This window comes from Homo sapiens, chromosome 1 (genome assembly GCF_000001405.40).
Source record: "Homo sapiens chromosome 1, GRCh38.p14 Primary Assembly".
NCBI classification, from domain to species: Eukaryota; Metazoa; Chordata; class Mammalia; order Primates; family Hominidae; genus Homo; species Homo sapiens.
In genome coordinates, this window is record NC_000001.11 from 9,393,589 (window position 1) to 9,409,739 (window position 16,151).

General features: G+C 52.8%; 6 annotated features.

Moving 5' to 3' along the window:
• Nucleotides 511-680: an enhancer, noted in NCBI's record as "experimental_9573 CRE fragment used in MPRA reporter constructs". NCBI's record gives its function as "activates a minimal promoter by MPRAs in K562 erythroleukemia cells, with activity observed for the non-introgressed 1:9454243 variant allele {active_cell/tissue: K562}" and the evidence as "EXISTENCE:reporter gene assay evidence [ECO:0000049][PMID:34662402]".
• Nucleotides 511-687: a biological region, named in NCBI's record as "Neanderthal introgressed variant-containing enhancers experimental_9573 and experimental_9584".
• Nucleotides 518-687: an enhancer, noted in NCBI's record as "experimental_9584 CRE fragment used in MPRA reporter constructs". NCBI's record gives its function as "activates a minimal promoter by MPRAs in K562 erythroleukemia cells, with activity observed for both the introgressed and non-introgressed 1:9454250 variant alleles {active_cell/tissue: K562}" and the evidence as "EXISTENCE:reporter gene assay evidence [ECO:0000049][PMID:34662402]".
• Nucleotides 5,541-6,384: an enhancer, noted in NCBI's record as "H3K4me1 hESC enhancer chr1:9459188-9460031 (GRCh37/hg19 assembly coordinates)". NCBI's record gives its function as "activates a minimal SCP1, AML or CMV promoter by ChIP-STARR-seq in naive H9 embryonic stem cells {active_cell/tissue: H9 hESC(naive)}" and the evidence as "EXISTENCE:reporter gene assay evidence [ECO:0000049][PMID:30033119]".
• Nucleotides 6,385-7,227: an enhancer, noted in NCBI's record as "H3K27ac-H3K4me1 hESC enhancer chr1:9460032-9460874 (GRCh37/hg19 assembly coordinates)". NCBI's record gives its function as "activates a minimal SCP1, AML or CMV promoter by ChIP-STARR-seq in naive H9 embryonic stem cells {active_cell/tissue: H9 hESC(naive)}" and the evidence as "EXISTENCE:reporter gene assay evidence [ECO:0000049][PMID:30033119]".
• Nucleotides 7,228-8,070: an enhancer, noted in NCBI's record as "H3K27ac-H3K4me1 hESC enhancer chr1:9460875-9461717 (GRCh37/hg19 assembly coordinates)". NCBI's record gives its function as "activates a minimal SCP1, AML or CMV promoter by ChIP-STARR-seq in naive H9 embryonic stem cells {active_cell/tissue: H9 hESC(naive)}" and the evidence as "EXISTENCE:reporter gene assay evidence [ECO:0000049][PMID:30033119]".

Here is a 16,151-nt window from a genome sequence, read left to right on the forward strand (position 1 = left end):
AAAAAGAGGAGGAAAGGACACGGAGAGAGAGGGGGGAAGGCAGAGCCAGGATCCGGAGGGACAAGAGAAAGGTAAAAGAGAAGAGTTACTGTTGCAGTGACATCCCACCCAGATGTCTACAGGAGGTCTGTGGCTCTTCTGTTCCTACTGCATCCACAGAGACCCTGATGGCTCCTTGTCTGGCTACCTGGCTGTCATGCTGCTGCTGCTGAGAACGTGGGCACCTTGGTCTATTTCCTCCCTGCTGGTTTTCACATGTGCATTCACGAGATTTCTCCGGAGACCCACCCTTGCTTTCTTCTCCCATGCCCACATGCTGTTCTAGACCATCTTGGAACAAAACATCAGAAAACAGGGTCTCCATTGGCAGGAGAGAGAACTGAGGTAGGTGTTCACCAGGAAGGGGCAAAGCGAGGAGAGTTGCAACAGTTTTGCTTCAATCATCTTTTGCTAGCTCCTCCACCAAATACCAAACCCCGAGCCCCTCAGCCACCCCCTGCCAGTGTCCAGGAGAGCAGTGAACATGCCCCCAATTGGTTTCATGATCGCCAGCTCCAGTGGCTCCTGCTGAGTGCCAGGAACTGAGTTCTGCACACGTTTCCCGAATACAAATTGCCAGGAAAAGGCTAAACGTGTCCACCGACTCTCTGGCCTCCAAAATTGCAGTTCTCCATTTTTTCCCATGCAATAGACATGATAGATGGAAGACATTCATGCAGGAAGTACACTCCAATTTTAATGGAAGTTCCCAAAATAAAATTGTTCAGAGAGCAGTACAGTAATTCATAATTACCCCCACAAACACTAAATGGCAGTGACTGACATAAAGGTGGGCCGAGGGTCCCACACAGCTGGCCAGAACTCCACCCTCTCTCCCACCTGAGAATAGGAATGGATGGAAGTGACATTCAGGTAGGGCTTTTGGGGTTGCAAGTAACAGAATCCTACCTCAAACGGGGTTAAGCAAAACAGGGGCGTTAGCGTTTTGTGTATCAGAAAAGCTCAAGATCAGTTTGATTGAAGCTCGACTAGGGTGGCCAGGGAGCACCCACCCTGTCATCTCTCTCGGCTCGGGGCCCCTGGTTTCCCTGCGTGGGGTCCGTCTAGAGGTGGGCTCTCCCACCACAGTGCTCAGGCAGCTGCCAGCCCCTCCAGGCTTACACTGATCCTCAGCCAGCTCTGAGGGAGGAGTGATTTTCTCTTCCCCACGGTGTCTGCAAATGTCCCTGAACAGAGCCCTGTCGACTCATGGCCACCTGCACTGTGACCAGGGAGATGCCCCCTTCTGATTAATTTTCTGTCACATGCACCGAGGAGCCGGGGCATGATGGGCCAGCTCTACCCAAACCCAGGACTGAGAGTAGGGAGTGGAGGTTCCCAAAAGAAGGTCCAGGAGCTGTCACCAGGAGAGGAGAAACCAATACCCAGCAGGGCAGGCAGGACCACGGGCGGCCCCTGTGAGGTTCTTGCAGCTGCTGTAGCAAACAGACACATATCAATGCTTGAAACAACACAAATGTATTAACGTACAGTTCTGGACTCCAGAAGTGCTGGAAGCGGTGCGTCAGCTGGGCTGATCCCTTCTGGAAGCTCTAAGGGAGAATCTGTTTCCTTCCACTTTCCAGCTTCTAAAGGCCACCTGCATTCCTTGGCTCTTGGCCCCATCCTCCCTCTTCAAAGCCAGCAGAGCATAACATCTTCTGGTCTCTATTCCTTTCTGTCTCTGTCTCTCTCGGACCCTGTTTCTATATGCGTGTGTGTGTCTCTCTCATCTGTCTCTCCCTTTCTCTCCCTCTCTCTTTCTGATCCTCCTGCCTCTAGCTTATAAGGACCCTTGGCATTACGTTAGGACCACTTGGGTAATCCCATCTCAAGGTCTTTAATTGAATCATGACTGCAAAATCCCTTTTGCTGTGTAAACATCTTCACAGGGCCATTATTCTATCTACCATGTCCTAGTGAGAATTAGCCTCACCTCCATCTGCATATACTTATGGTGAAGCCCTAACTCTCACCCACGGCAAGTTATTCATCCCTGCCTCAGAGGGCTGTCTGGTAGGTCAGACCCCTGCAGTGGAGAAGCCTACCCCTGACCTTCGACCTATGCACACAGGGTCCAGCACTTGGTCCGGTGGCAGACAGAGAACCTTCCCCAGAAAGCACCAGGGGTTGCAGGGTCAGAGGCCCAGTGGCCAGACCCAGGGGGAACTGTGTCCTTTCAGGTCACTGTCCTAGCTCTCCAGGAAGTCACAGGAAGGTAAAATCATGGAGAAGAATCCCTGGGCAGAGGAGAGAACTCCACTGGCCTGCTCACCTCCACTTGCATTGGGGTCTTGGGCCAGAATTCCAGGTCCAATACAGAGCCTTAAGATTTATTTTTAGGCCGGGCGCGGTGGCTCACACCGGTAATCTCAACACTTTGGGAGGCCGAGGCAGGCAGATCATTTGAGGTCAGGAGTTCAAGACCAGCCTGACCAACGTGGTGAAACCCCATCTCTACTAAAAATACAAAAATTAGCCAGGCATGGTGGCACGCACCTGTAATACCAGCTACTCAGGAGGCTGAGGCAGGAGAATCACTTGAACCCGGGAGGCAGAGTTTGCAGTGAGCTGAGATCGTGCCATTGCACTCTAGCCTGGGCAACGGAGCAAGACTCTGACTCAAGAAAAAAAACAAACACACATTTGTTTTTTGGTTGGGTGTGGTGGCTCACACCTGTAATCCCAACACTTTGGAAGGATGAGGCAGAAGGATCACTTGAGCCAAGGAGTTCAAAAGCAGCCTGGGGACCGGGCGCAGTGGCTCGCGCCTGTAATCTCAGCACTTTGGGAGGCCAAGGCGGGCGGATCACGAGGTCAGGAGATCGAGACCATCCTGGCTAACACGGTGAAACCCCTTCTCTACTAAAAACACAAAAAATTAGCCAGGCGTGGTGGCGGGCACCTGTAGTCCCAGCTACTCAGGAGGCTGAGGCAGGAGAATGGCGTAAACCTGGGAGGCGGAGCTTGCAGTGAGCCGAGATCTGGCCACTGTACTCCAGCCTGGACGACAGAACGAGACTCCGTCTCAAAAAAAAAACAAATTAAAAAAAAAAAAGAGCAGCCTGGGCAATGTAGGGAGACACCATCTCTACCAAAAAAAAAAAAAGAAGAAGAATAAAAAGAAAAAAAAAGATGTATTGTTTTTAAAAAGGTAAATGTTTCTGATACGAAAGGAATGGTGAATCCTGACACAGGTCACCCTTCCTAGAGCCGACATCAACAGGAGCGACTCCCTCTCCTCATTCCAAGAAACGTGGGATCGTGGGGTCAGCAGGATTCTGGCTTCCCATCCCTGGACAGTTTGGACCTTGGCAAAGGTACTGTTGACAAGGGGCTGGGCCCTGCCAAACACATCCCGGGATGCTCTCAGCTACTCCCAGGAAGAGGAGAGGAAGGAAAATGCTGCCCAAAGACAGTGCCCAGCAGGCGTGTTGCCCCCAGCCCAGCTGCCATGCTGCCTACCCCACAAAAGCCTAGGGCCTCCCTGAGTCCTGGTAAACCGGACTCCATGGGGACTGAGGCCTCGCACGAGCTGAGTCCCCAGGCTTGGGCATGGCTCTTGCCCTTTCCTTTCCTTTCTTTCCTGTCCTGTCCTGTCCTTTCCTTCTTTTTTTCCTTCCTTCCTTCTTTTCTCTCTCTCTCTCTCTCTTTCTCTCTCTCTCTCTCTTTCTTTCCCTCTTTCTTTCTGATGGGATCTCACTCAGTCACCCAGGCTGGAGTGCAGTGGTGCAATCATGGCTCACTGCAGCCTCAACCTCCCAGGCTCAAGCGATCATCCTGCCTCAGCCTCCCGAGTAGCTGGGACCACAGGCATGCACCGCCACACCCAGCTAATTTTCCATTTTTTTGTAGAGATGGGGTTTCACTATGTTGCCCAGGCTGGTCTCGAACTCCTGGACACAAGCCATCCTCCCACCTTGGCCTCCCAACGTGCTGGGATTACAGGCGTGAGCCACCGCACCTGGCCTGGCCCTTGCTGTTTCTTTCCTCCGGGAGGAACAAGGGCCTTACGGGACCGGGGGCTTCCACTTCTCCAAGTGGAAACCTCAGCCAGGGCTTGGTCAGAGCTGGCTTATGAGCTGGAATCAGCCCAGTCCACCTGGCCAGAGACTTCGATGGTCCAGGCCACGCCAGCCTCGAGGGGCCGGAAGGGAAAAGAAATTCGGCTCTGATCCCTCTGGCTCCTGGAAGAGGAGGTGGGCTGCTGCAGGCGTGTGCCTTGGGATGGATTCTAGAGCCCAGGGTCCCCTGTCCAGGCCTGGATGACCCAGCGATGGGAGCGATTTTTTAAATATTTTTCAATTAAGTCCGTGAGAGAGCTCAGAAGCCAACCCTGTGCGTGGCGTACAAATCCGGGCCGTGCAGCAGCAGCTCAGTTGGCAGGGGCCTCTCACTGGGCCCGCCAGCCACACCCTTGGACCGGCCAGGTTTTTCCTGAGTGGAAGCAGGGTTCAGGCCCTATGTGCCCTGCAGGACTGAGGAGTCCAGCAGGCTATCCGGGTCCCACAGAAAAGGTGGGGAATTCTGGCCAGCAGCCGGGCAGGGGACGAAAGAGGATGCTGAGAAGCTTTCAGGCGTTTCTCCACCCTCCTGAGTCACACGGGAATGTCTGAGACCAGGAGGCAGGTCGGGGGACTGGACGGGGGGGTGCTTTTTTGCAGCCTCTGCCAGGATCCCAGTGGGGGCAGGAGGAGAGACAGGCCCAGAGCTGGGCGAGGAGAGCTGGAGAGAGGCTGAGGAGGATACAGCTGCAGCCTCAAGCCCAGACACCACTTCCTCTCTCCCACCCCTCCCTCCTTTCCAGCCATGTGGCCCACCAAAGACCTCATCCTCGGGAAACGCAGCCAGGTCCCACCCACGAGGGCAGGGGCCTGGGGCTCCCCATCCCCAGCTGAGTTCAGGGCAGCATGAGGCCTGGCCTCACCTCCCTCTGCTCTCCCACCCGTGGGGGCTGCTGCCCTCACCCGTGGCTTCTAGATGATAGCCTCCCCCTCCATCCTATCCTCAACACCTCCCACAAGCTGGGCATACAGCTAGGGCTTAATAAATGCCAGTTTTCCCTCCTCTACTGCACCACACAGAGATTATTCAGATCCTCACCTTGCCTGGTAGGCTCATCTCAGGACATGGACAAATTAGAAACTATTTTATTTGTTTGTTTATTTTTCTATTTATTTATTTTTGAGACAGAGTCTTGTTCTGTCACCCAGGCTGGAGTGCGGTGGCGCCATCTTGGCTCACTGCAACCTCCACCTCCCAGGTTCAAGCGATTCTCCTGCCACAGCCTAAAGGGATTACAAGTAGCTGGGATTACAGGCACCCGCCACCACACTTGGCTCATTTTTGTATTTTTAGTAGAGATGGGGTTTCGCCATGTTGGCCAGGCTGGTCTCGAACTCCTGAGCTCAGGTGATCTGCCCACCTCAGCCTCCCATAGTGCTGAGATTACAGATGTGAGCCGCCACGCCCAACTTATTTATTTACTTGTTTATTTATTTTTAGATGGCGTCCCACTCTGTCACCCAGGCTGGAGTGCAGCGGTACTATCTCAGCTCACTGCAACCTCCGCCTCCTGGGGTCAAGTGATTCTGCTGCCTCAGCCTCCCAAGTAGCTGAGATTACAGGCACACACCACCATGCCCAGCTAATTTTTGTATATTTAAATAGAGATGGGTTTCACCACATTGGTCAGGTTGGTCTTGAACTCCTGACCTCAAGTGATCCACCTGCCTCAGCCTCCCAAAGTGCTGGGATTACGGGTGTGAGCCACCACACCTGGCCCAAATTAGGAACTAAATCATCAGCAAAAGCTGAGTCGCTTGCCCCTGGAAGAGGCAGCTGAGGACCAGCTGAGGCCACTTGACGCTGGGCGGGGGGCGGGGGGGCCCTGCCCTGCTCTGCCCCAGGGAGGTGCTGCTGCAGACCCTGCCTGTGCTGCAGTCCGAGGCCGCCCTCAAACCCCCGCTTCCAGCAGGATCCCCGCTGTCACTGAGATCCAGAGCTGCCACTGCTTCCGCATCATCCTTGTTTGCTATTTGGTGCTTTGGGCAAGCAGAGCTGTGTTTTGCCAGCTGCCGGCTGGCAGCTCAGCCCATCCTGCAGCTGGAGGCCCGAGCAGGGGGCCCAGGGAGCCCTTTGAAGTCCCTGTCTCAGCTGACAGCCCTCCCCTCTCGCCTCCCACCAGGGAATCCCACTGCCTCTGGTATGGACAAACACTCGCAAAGCTCAGAAAAGTGTAGCCACCTTTCCTGAAAATATTCAGCCTGGCCCAGCCCTGCTGGAAGCCACTGCACACGGTTCTTGGGGCTGAGACCATGGCTTTCTGCAAACTAACGTGGCCTTTGGGTGCAGCAATAGAGCCAGAAGACATCAGGGTGGCCTCAACCTAGAAGCCAGGTCCCGGCCACCTCTCACACAGGCTGGGCTAAGGGGAGGCTGCAGAGGAAGTTCAGTGGCAGCTGTTCCCTTTGCACCGGGGACTAGAGGTCGGACAGCTGGGATTAGTCAGAGGTGCCGAGCTGTGTCCTCCGCCAGCCCAACCATGGGGACCTTCTCCAAGTGGAAACCTCGGCTTGGGCTTAGCCAGAGCTGGCTTACGAGCTGGAATCAGCCCAGTCCACCTGGCTGGAGTCTTTGATGGCCCAGGCCACGCCAGCTTCATGGGGTCTGCAGGGAAAAGAAGTTCAGCTCAGAAATCTCTGGCTCCTAGAAAAGGAGGTGGGCGCCCTCCTGCCAGAGCCAGCTGATTTTAATTCAGCTACCCGGCAAACCTCCCTGGTTCCTGCTCTATGACAAACCCAGGGCAGGTGCCAAGATACAGAGATAGACAAAACTCAGTGCCTACCCTAGAGGAATTCATAGTCAGGTAAAATAACGGCCACACAGTGTGTCTGTGCCCATGTGGCAGAGGCCCAGAGAAGCAGCCTAGGACTGAGCTGAGCTGATATGCTTTGCAGGAAGTGGGTGAAAGTGCGGCAGAGGCCTGGGAGGCGGGAGGCCAGGTCTCTGGCAGTGGGGGTTCTTTCTTTAGCAGTCCCCTCCTAGCACCCACACAGTCCCAGGCCCTGGGAGGGCCAGCTCTGCACCCCAAAGCTGCTAAGTCTGTGGTCCAGGAGGTAGGTGGCCGCAGCTGCACCTGCCCGTCCCTCAGCCAGGGGAAGTGACTCGCCTCTGAGGCTCCTGCAGGCTGCCTCCTGGGGGAGCGTGCAGGAAAGAGTTTGCAGGTTTTATGGCCAGTGAGGTCCGGCTCAGGCCTGAGGAGGGTGCAGGCCAAGCCGGCCGGTTCTAATTAGGGGACTGGGCTCCTCGTAGCAGCCCAGGGGCCTGGGGGCTTTGCCAGTTTGTAGAACAGCCAGCACTGTTTTGCACAGTGTCTCCTGGCAACGGGGGCCACTCCAATGGGGAGCGGGGTGCCCTGGGAGCCCTTGTGGGCAGCAGCCAGCCACTCAGCCTGAGCTCACTCGTGCGGTCCCCTCCAGGTACTTCCGCCCTACCAGACTGACCTCGGGGGACACAGATCCCTGCTAGAGCATGGGGCAAACTGCCCTCTCCCAGCCTGGGTCAGTGCTGCCAGAACCCAAAGGGACTGGGGACGGAGGCTGGGTCTTTGCTTCCCCTCACCACCTCAGGTTGCCCTGAGTAAGCATTCTAAAACAAAAGGAGGCCGGGCGCGGCGGCTCATGCCTGTAATCCCAGCACTTAGGGCGGCCAAGGTGGGCGGATCACTTGAGGTCAAGAGTTTGAGACCAGCCTGGCCAACATGGTGAAACCCCATCTCTACTAAAAATACACAAAATTAGCCGGGCGTGGTGGTGCGCGCCTGTAATCCCAGCTACTCAGGAGGCTGAGAAACAAGAATTGCTGAGGCAGAGGTTGACGAAGGGGGTGGAGGTTGCAGTGAGCCGAAATTGTGCCACTGCACTCCAGCCTGGGCGACAGAGTGAGACTCTGTTTCAAAAAAAATAAAACAAAATAAAAGTAAGATAAACCAAGAATAAGTACCGACGCCTAGTGTCTAGACAATGCCTAGCACACAGTAGATGCTCAAAGAATGCAGAGTGAATAACCAAGCTCAGTGCTTGGAAACCTGGCTGGCACACAGTAGGCTCACAATCCATGTGCCGAACACAAGAAGGAATGAAGTTTGTCTTCAGCCCCATGCAGTGAGTTCTAGAAAGCAGGTGGCCTGTTGCTTTCATCTTGTGTCTGCAATGCCTGATACAGGACCCAGGACTCCTCGGGCCTGGCAGGACCCGCCCCAGCCGAGGTTCCCGTCCTGGTGCTGGGGGCGAAGGGGAGGGAGGGAGGCCGGCAGGCGGCTGGTCAGACAGTGTGAGTCTGGCCTTTGAATGTTATTCCCGGCAGTTCCTCTGATTCACAGCTGTCCCAGGAACAGTCATGGCTGTGTCAATAAATATTGGTGACTTTTAATGACCTCTCCGTCTCGCAGGGCCATGTGGGCCTTCCTGCCCCTCCAAAGACCCCGTCCAGGCTGTTGTTTTTCTAGCCAGCGTATAGCGCTCTGTGCCAGTGAGAGGGCCTTGGGGACCGAATGGCCCCCGCAGGCTGATAACTCAGAAGGCATTTTCTGTCTCCTTGCTTCGCCTGCTCCTTTTCACCATAACTCCCCAGACCTCCTGGGAATGACCCTGAGTGCAGAAGGATGGGCAACATCAGAGGCCCTGGCTCAGAAAGAGCCAGAAAGGAGCTGCCACCTTGGCCCCCCCTGCCCTTCCCCCTACACCTCTGCCTGGGTGTCTTGTCCTTTCTCCACGCTAGAAAAGGACATCGCATCTCACGCCAACACAACATGCCAGGCAAAGATAAGCTGCTTTTCCTCCTTCCACACTTTCACACTTTCCACAGTTTAGGCTGAGGGAGAGTTTGAATTAAAACCCAACTACAGCACGGCTGGGCATGGTGGCTCACGCCTGCAATCCCAGCACGTTGGGAGGCTGAGACGAGTGGATCACCTGAGGTCAGGAGTTTGAGACCAGCCTGGCCAACATGGTGAAACCGCGTCTCTAAAAATAAAAAAATTAGCCAGGCGTGGTGATGCATGCTTGTAATCCCAGCTACTTGGGAGGCTGAAGTGGGAGGATTGCTTGAACCTAGGAGGCGGAGGTTGCAGTGAACTGAGATGGGGCCGCTGCACTCCAGCCTGGACGACAGAGCAAGACTCCATCTCAAAAAAAAAAAAAAAAAAACACCACAACTGTAGCCCTCTTTACTGGACGACAGATTTTATCATGAAAGCAAAGAACGGTTATGAGCACACAGGATCTGTGTCATCTCCTCAATTCTACTTCAAAGAATATTCCATACATCAAGCACTCTGGGGCGGTGGAGAGGCCACCAAACCCAAGACAGGTTTGATTCTGCTCTCAAGAGCTTGCAGTCCAGAGGGAACGCAGGTGGTGCAGGAAGCCGCTGTACACAGGGGACTGCAGCTCCCCAGTGAGGAGTGTGGGTGCTGCGGGGGGATTCACAAGGACTAAAGGGACGTGCGACCAAATGCAATGTGTGATTCTTTTTGGGGTTTTGTTTTTTGTTTTTTTGGTTTTTATGAGACGGAGTTTCCCTCTGTCGCCCAGGCTAGAGTACAGTGGCACAATCTTGGCTCACTGCAACCTCTGCCTCCCAGGTACACCCAGGTTCAAGTGATTCTCTTGCCTCAGCCTCCCGAGTAGCTGGGACTACAAGTGTGCACCACCACGCCTGGCTAATTTTTGTATTTTTTTTTTAGACGGAGTTTCACTCTTGTTGCCCAGGCTGGAGTGCAATGGCACGATCTCGGCTCGCCACAACCTCCACCTCCCTGGTTCAAGCGATTCTCCTGCCTCAGCCTCCCTAGTAGCTGGAATTACAGGTGCGTGCCTCCACACCTGGCTAATTTTGTATTCTTAGTAGAGGCAGGGTTTCTCCGTGTTGGTCAGGCTGGTCTCAAACTCCCGACCTCAGGTGATCCACCCACCTTGGCCTCCCAAAGTGCTGGGATTATAGGCGTGAGCCACCACACCCAGCCAATTTTTGTATTTTTAGTAGAGACGGGGTTTCACCATGTTGGCCAGAGTGGTCTCGAACTCCTGGCCTCAAGCGATCTGCCCGCCTCGGCCTCCCAAGGTGCTGGCATTACAGGCATGAGCCACAGTGCCTGGCCCCAGTGTGTGATTCTTGAGTGGAACGTGCATTAAAGCAAAAGAAGCAGCTGCTTTCAGGGTCTTTTGGAGAATTTAATCATGGATTGCATGTTACATAATATCCCTGCATCAAAGCTAAACTCCTGAGTATGGAAATGGACTTTTGGCCATGCAGGAGACTGTCCTTGATTTTGGAAGGTACCTGCTGAAATATTGAGAAGGGACGTGTCATTGTGTCCGCAACTGACTTTTGAATATTTCAGTGGTCTTCCAGAAGGCAGACTCCTGTGGGCTGAGCAGGAAGTAGCCTAGCAAAGCAGGGAGAACAGTGTGCATAAGGACCGAGGGTGGCCCGGCAAGGGCCCATGCCCAGGAATTGCTGCTGGAGACGAGGCTGGGGGACAGGGCCAGGTCGTGGCAGGGAGTAATCAGGCGACAAGGAAGGCACACTTGGACCCGGAGGGTGGTCATGGGCGTGGAGAGAGTTGGGAGGTATTTAGGAGGTCGAATCTGCAGGAGCAGCCAGGATATGGGGAAAGAGGGTATGGGAGGGGAGAGAACTCATGCTGTCTGGCAGGAGAACCGGGAGAAGGAAGGTGCCACTCACAGAGGTGGAAGACCCAGGGAGCAGCAGGGTTGGAGCGGGAGAAGGTCAAGGGCTCGGTTTTCAGACATGCCAGGGCTGTGGGGCATCTCCAATGGGGTACCAGGAATTTGAAGGTGTGTTTGTCCAAATAACCATGGAGCCAGTACTCTGTCCTCAGGCATGGGTGTTGGGGACGTCTTGTGGCCATACCAGCCAGGCGTGGTGGAAGCCGCAGAGGTGGGGCCAGGTGAGAACACCCAGTTGTGCCTTGCTCATCCTGCATTTGTTTTGCTGGCTCCTCTCTGTCTGCCTTGGAGGAACGGATCAAGACTGTTCACCTCACAGGCCCTTGACATGAGTCAGGATTCAGAGCTGCCCCCTGCAGCCACCCACCTCCTGTCACAGGCTGGAAAGGAGCTGATTGCCCAGAACTCAACTGAAAGGAGGCCACACATTTCAGCCTGGGTTTCTATGTCCCCTTGTGTCTTGTTTATTTATCCTTGGGGCAATCTGGGTGGTTTGGTCCGTGGGAGTGGGATGGGCCACCCTCCCAAATGCTGGGTGTCTGGTCCCGTACCAGCTCCCTGCAGGCGAAGCCCGTTCTGCCATCGTGTAGCCTTTCAGCACATAATTGCTGAGCTCCTGCTGTGTTCTAGGCATCGTTCTAGATGCTGGGAAGATAGCAGAAATAAAAGTCCAGTCTATAGGAATAATAACTTCTTATTGTCATAAATAATTATTGTATAAAGATACATAATAGCATACGTGACGATCATGCCTACCATTTATTGAGCACTCAGGATACACCAGACACTGTGCTGAGTGCCCCATGTCCCCTGTAATCTTCACAACCACCTCTGTTTAGTATTAATATTACCGTTTGATAGATGGGACAACAAGGGCTCAGAGAAGGAAGGTAAGTGGCCACCCAAGATCACAGCTTATAAATGTCAGGGTCAGGGTTTGAACTCAGACCTGGGGCCTGTACTTCCAAACTCTCAGCCTGCAACTTGCCAGAGTCCAGCTTGCCCTTTGGTGGGTGGGGGTGATAGAGTTGGAGGCCCCATCCTGTTCAGGTCCAGCTCTGAACCTTATAGGCCTGGCCTGACACCTCCATTGCTCTGTGTCCTCCCGATCCTGGACTCCTCCTTGCATCTGGTTCTGACCCCAGATTCCTGCTTTCATGCTGAGCTCAGCCCAGCCCATCTCACTCAGCAGCTAACCCACCCAGAGGGATGGCTGGAGAGAGGGAACGCTGGCCAAGGGACCAGCTCAGGCAGGCGCTGGCAGTGTAGAGTTGCCAAATGTTGTACGGCACATACACTAAAAAGTTGTTTGTGGGCTGGCTGCCGTGGCTCTCGCCTGTAATCCCAGCACTTTGGGAGGCCAAGGTGGGTGGATCACTCGAGGTCAGGAGTTTGAGACCAGCCTGGCCAACATGGGGAAACCCCATCTCTACCAAAAATACAAAAAATTAGCAGGGCGTGGTGGTGCATACTTGTAGTCCCAGCTACTTGGGAGGCTGAGGCAGGATAATTACTTGAACCCTGAAGGCAGGGGTGCCAGTGAGCTGAGATTGTGCCACTGCACTCCAGCCTGGGTGACAGAAGGAGACTCCATCTCAAAAAAAAAAAAAAAGTTATTTATGGATTATCTGAAATTCAAATTTAACTGAGTGACCTGTATACTTGCTAAATCTAGCTACCTAAGGGGTAGGGGTGCAGAACACTGTGAGGGGATTTCAGCTATGAGGGGGCATAAGAAGGGGGTTTGGATGAAATTCCCCAGGAAGGGTGTCCTCAGATATTCAAGAATCTTTCATTCCTCCCTTGTAGACGTTCAGGTGCAAGCTTCCTGTCTCCTGATCATTTTCACTCCACCAACATGTGCTTATGTGCTTAACTAGAGAGCCGCGCTTAGAGTCACTATTTACATATCTTCCTGATCAGGCCCGTCTGTTCCTGCACCTGCTATCACCCCACAACCACCACCACCAACTCCAGCAGCCCTCTCAAGTTTCCAGGGCCTGTTTCTTTCGCCAAGAATATTCTTGCTCTCCACTCTGCCTTTCTCCTTGGAGCCCTCCCGCACCCCCAGCCCGTCTGTTGCACCCTGAACTTCCTGTCATCACACTGATTACACTCTATTACAATTGTGTCTGGACTTTGGGAAGGTCCTAGCCTGGGAGCCCCCTCCTGAGACACACACACACACACACACACACAATCCCCACTGCAGAGGATTTACAGACACCCCTCTTCCAAGCCCATTCATAGACCCCAGGTCGATGTTGGAATTTCCTGGTTACTTCATTATCTCCCATGAAACTACAAGCTCCATGAGAGCCTTGTTCACCACAGAGCCTGGTCTGGAACATGGTAATCATCCATAACAATCCATTCCAGTATCAACAAACTATCAGCAAAGGTAACAATAGTCTATATTAAGTATCAAGAAAGATAAATGGCCAGGCACGGTGGCTCACGCCTGTAATCCCAGCACTTTGGGAGGCCGAGGCATGTGGATCACCTGGGGTCAGGCATTTAAGACCAACCTGGCCAACATGGTGAAACCCCGTCTCTACTAAAAATATAAAAATTTGTGGTACACACCTGTCGTCCCAGTTACTCGGGAGGCTGAGGCAAGGGAATCGCTTGAACCTGGGAGGTGGAGGTTGTAGTGAGCCGAGATGGCACCACTGAACTCCAGCCTGGGTGACAGAGCAAGACTCCATCTCGAAAAAAAAAAAAAAGATAAATGAGCTGTGTGACCCAGCCCAGTGTTGGTGCAGACCAGATGCTTCTTGAATGCTGTTTGAACGATGCTTCTTGAATGCTGTTTGAACGAATGAACAAATGACTCAGTGCAAATGACCCAGAGCTCAAATTTTGTCTGCTGGGCTGGGCTCACTCAGAGTGTGCTCCTCAAGGCCTCCCCTGACCCCCAACCACAAGAAGTCACCTAGGCCCTGATCCTGCCCTTCCAACCTGTTCAGTCCAGGTTAACCTGGGGTTCCTGGACCAGCTCCCAAGATGGGTGGGCACTGGATCTGCCCAAACCAGGTGGCTCCCCCCTGGAGTTCCCAGATACCTCACCTGTGCCCAGAACACGCCCATCCAAGGTGTCTTCATGGGAAGGGACAGTGGGACCTCCAGGCCATGATTACAAGAACTAGTTCTGGCCAGGGGTGGTGGCTCATGCCTGTAATCTCAGCACCATGGGAGGCTGAGGTGAGAGGATGGCTTGAGCCCAGGAGTTCAAGATCAGCCTGGGAAACATAGTGAGACCTTGTCTCAAAATAAATAAACACATAAATAAATAAAGTAAAATAACTCAGCCAGGCACATTGGCTCATGCCTGTAATCCCAGCACTTTGACAGGCCAAGGCAAGAGGATCACTTGAGCTCAGGAGTTTGAGACAAGCCTGGGCAACATGGTGAAACTCTGTCTCTATCAAAACTACAAAAATTAGCTAGGCATTGTGGCACATGTCTGTGGTCCCAGCTGCTTGAGAAGCTGAGGCAGGAGGATTGCTTGAGCCCAGGAGGCAGAGGTTGCAGTGAGTCCAGATCGTGCCATGGCACTCCAGCCTGGGTGATAGAGTGAGACTCCATCTCAAATAAATAAATAAATAAATAAAGTAAAAGAACTAGTTCTGGCTGGGCGCAGTGGCTCATGTCTGTAATCCCAGCACTTTGGGAGGCCAAGGCAGGCAGATCACGAGGTCGGGAGTTCGAGACCAGCCTGGCCAATATGGTGAAACCCCATCTCTACTAAAAATACAAAAATTAGCCGGGCATGGTGGCATGCGCCTGTAATCCCAGCTGCTCAGGAGGCTGAGGCAGAGGAATTGCTTGAACCCGGGAGGAGGAGGTTGTAGTGAGCCGAGATCATGCCACTGAACTCCAGCCTGGGTGACAGAGCGAGATTTAGTCTCAGAAAAAAAAAAAAAAGAACTAGTTTCCACCTCAACTCAGACACACATGTCGCCTTTCCAAAGGGTTCCAGCCACAGGGCCATCGCTGAGCTGACATCGTGGAGCCCTGTCTCTGTGGTAAGAATTTTCACATCCATGGCCACATTCTGTGCTGTGCGGGGTAAATGCTGAACAACCAGCTATCTGGAGGGCAGGTTGGGGTGGGGGAGAGTACACATACATATGTGAACATAGAGTATAAATCCTACCACAAATAAGTGCTTGATTACTACCTGACCCAACAAAAGAAATAGCTCATAGTTTTTTTTGGTTTTTGTTTTGTTTTGTTTTGTTTTTTTTGAGATGGAGTCTTGCTGTGTCACCCAGACTGGAGTGCAATGGCGTAATCTCAGCTCACTGCAACCTCCACCTCCCGGGTTCAAGCAATTCTCCTGCCTCAGCCTCCTGAGTAGCTGGGATTACAGGCGCCCAACACCACACCCGGCTAATTTTTGTATTTTTAGTAGAGATGGGGTTTCACCATGTTGGTCAGGCTGGTCTCAAACTCCTGACCTCGTGATCCACCCACCTCGGCCTCCCAAAGTGCTGGGATTACAGGCGTGAGCCACTGAGCCTGGCCCAGAAATAGCTCATGGTATTGATGAGTGAGTGTGATTCTAATATGAGGGTTGATTGGCATTTTCATGTATGTCAATGAGTAAGAAACAGTGAAACAAAAAAGACATTCGGCAGGCCCTTTAAATCTGTGGATTTCACATTTATGGATTCAACTAACCATGGATCTAAAATATTCATTCAAAAAAAATGGACGGTTGCATCTGTACCAAACATGTACAGACTTCTTATTTTTGTCATTATTTCCTAAACAATACAGTATAACAACTATTTACACCGCATTTACATTGTATTAGGTATTATAAGTAGTGTAGAAATGATTTCAGATATACGAGAGGATATGTGTAGGTTATATGCAACTACTACACCAATTTATATAAGGGATTTGAGCATTCGTGGATTTTGGTATCCAAGGGAGGGTCCTGAAACTAATGGGTCCAGATGGGACAACAAGGGCTCAGGGAAGGAAGGTAAGTGGTTGCCCAAGATTGAAGCTTATAAATGTCAGGATCTGAGGTCGGGAGTTCAAAACCAGCCTGACCAACATGGAGAAACCCCGTCTCTACTAAAAATACAAAATCAGCCGGGCGTGGTGGTGCGTACCTGTAATCCCAGCTACTTGGGAGGCTGAGGCAAGATAATTTCTTGAACCCGGGAGGTGGAAGTTGCGGTGAGCCTAGATTGCGCCGCTGCACTTCAGCCTGGTGACAGAGTGAGACTCCGTCTCAAAATAAAAAAATAAATAAATAAATGTCACAGCCAGGGTTTGAACTCACACCTGGAGCCTATGCTTCCAAACTCTCGGCCTGCAACTTGCCAGGGCCCAGCTTGC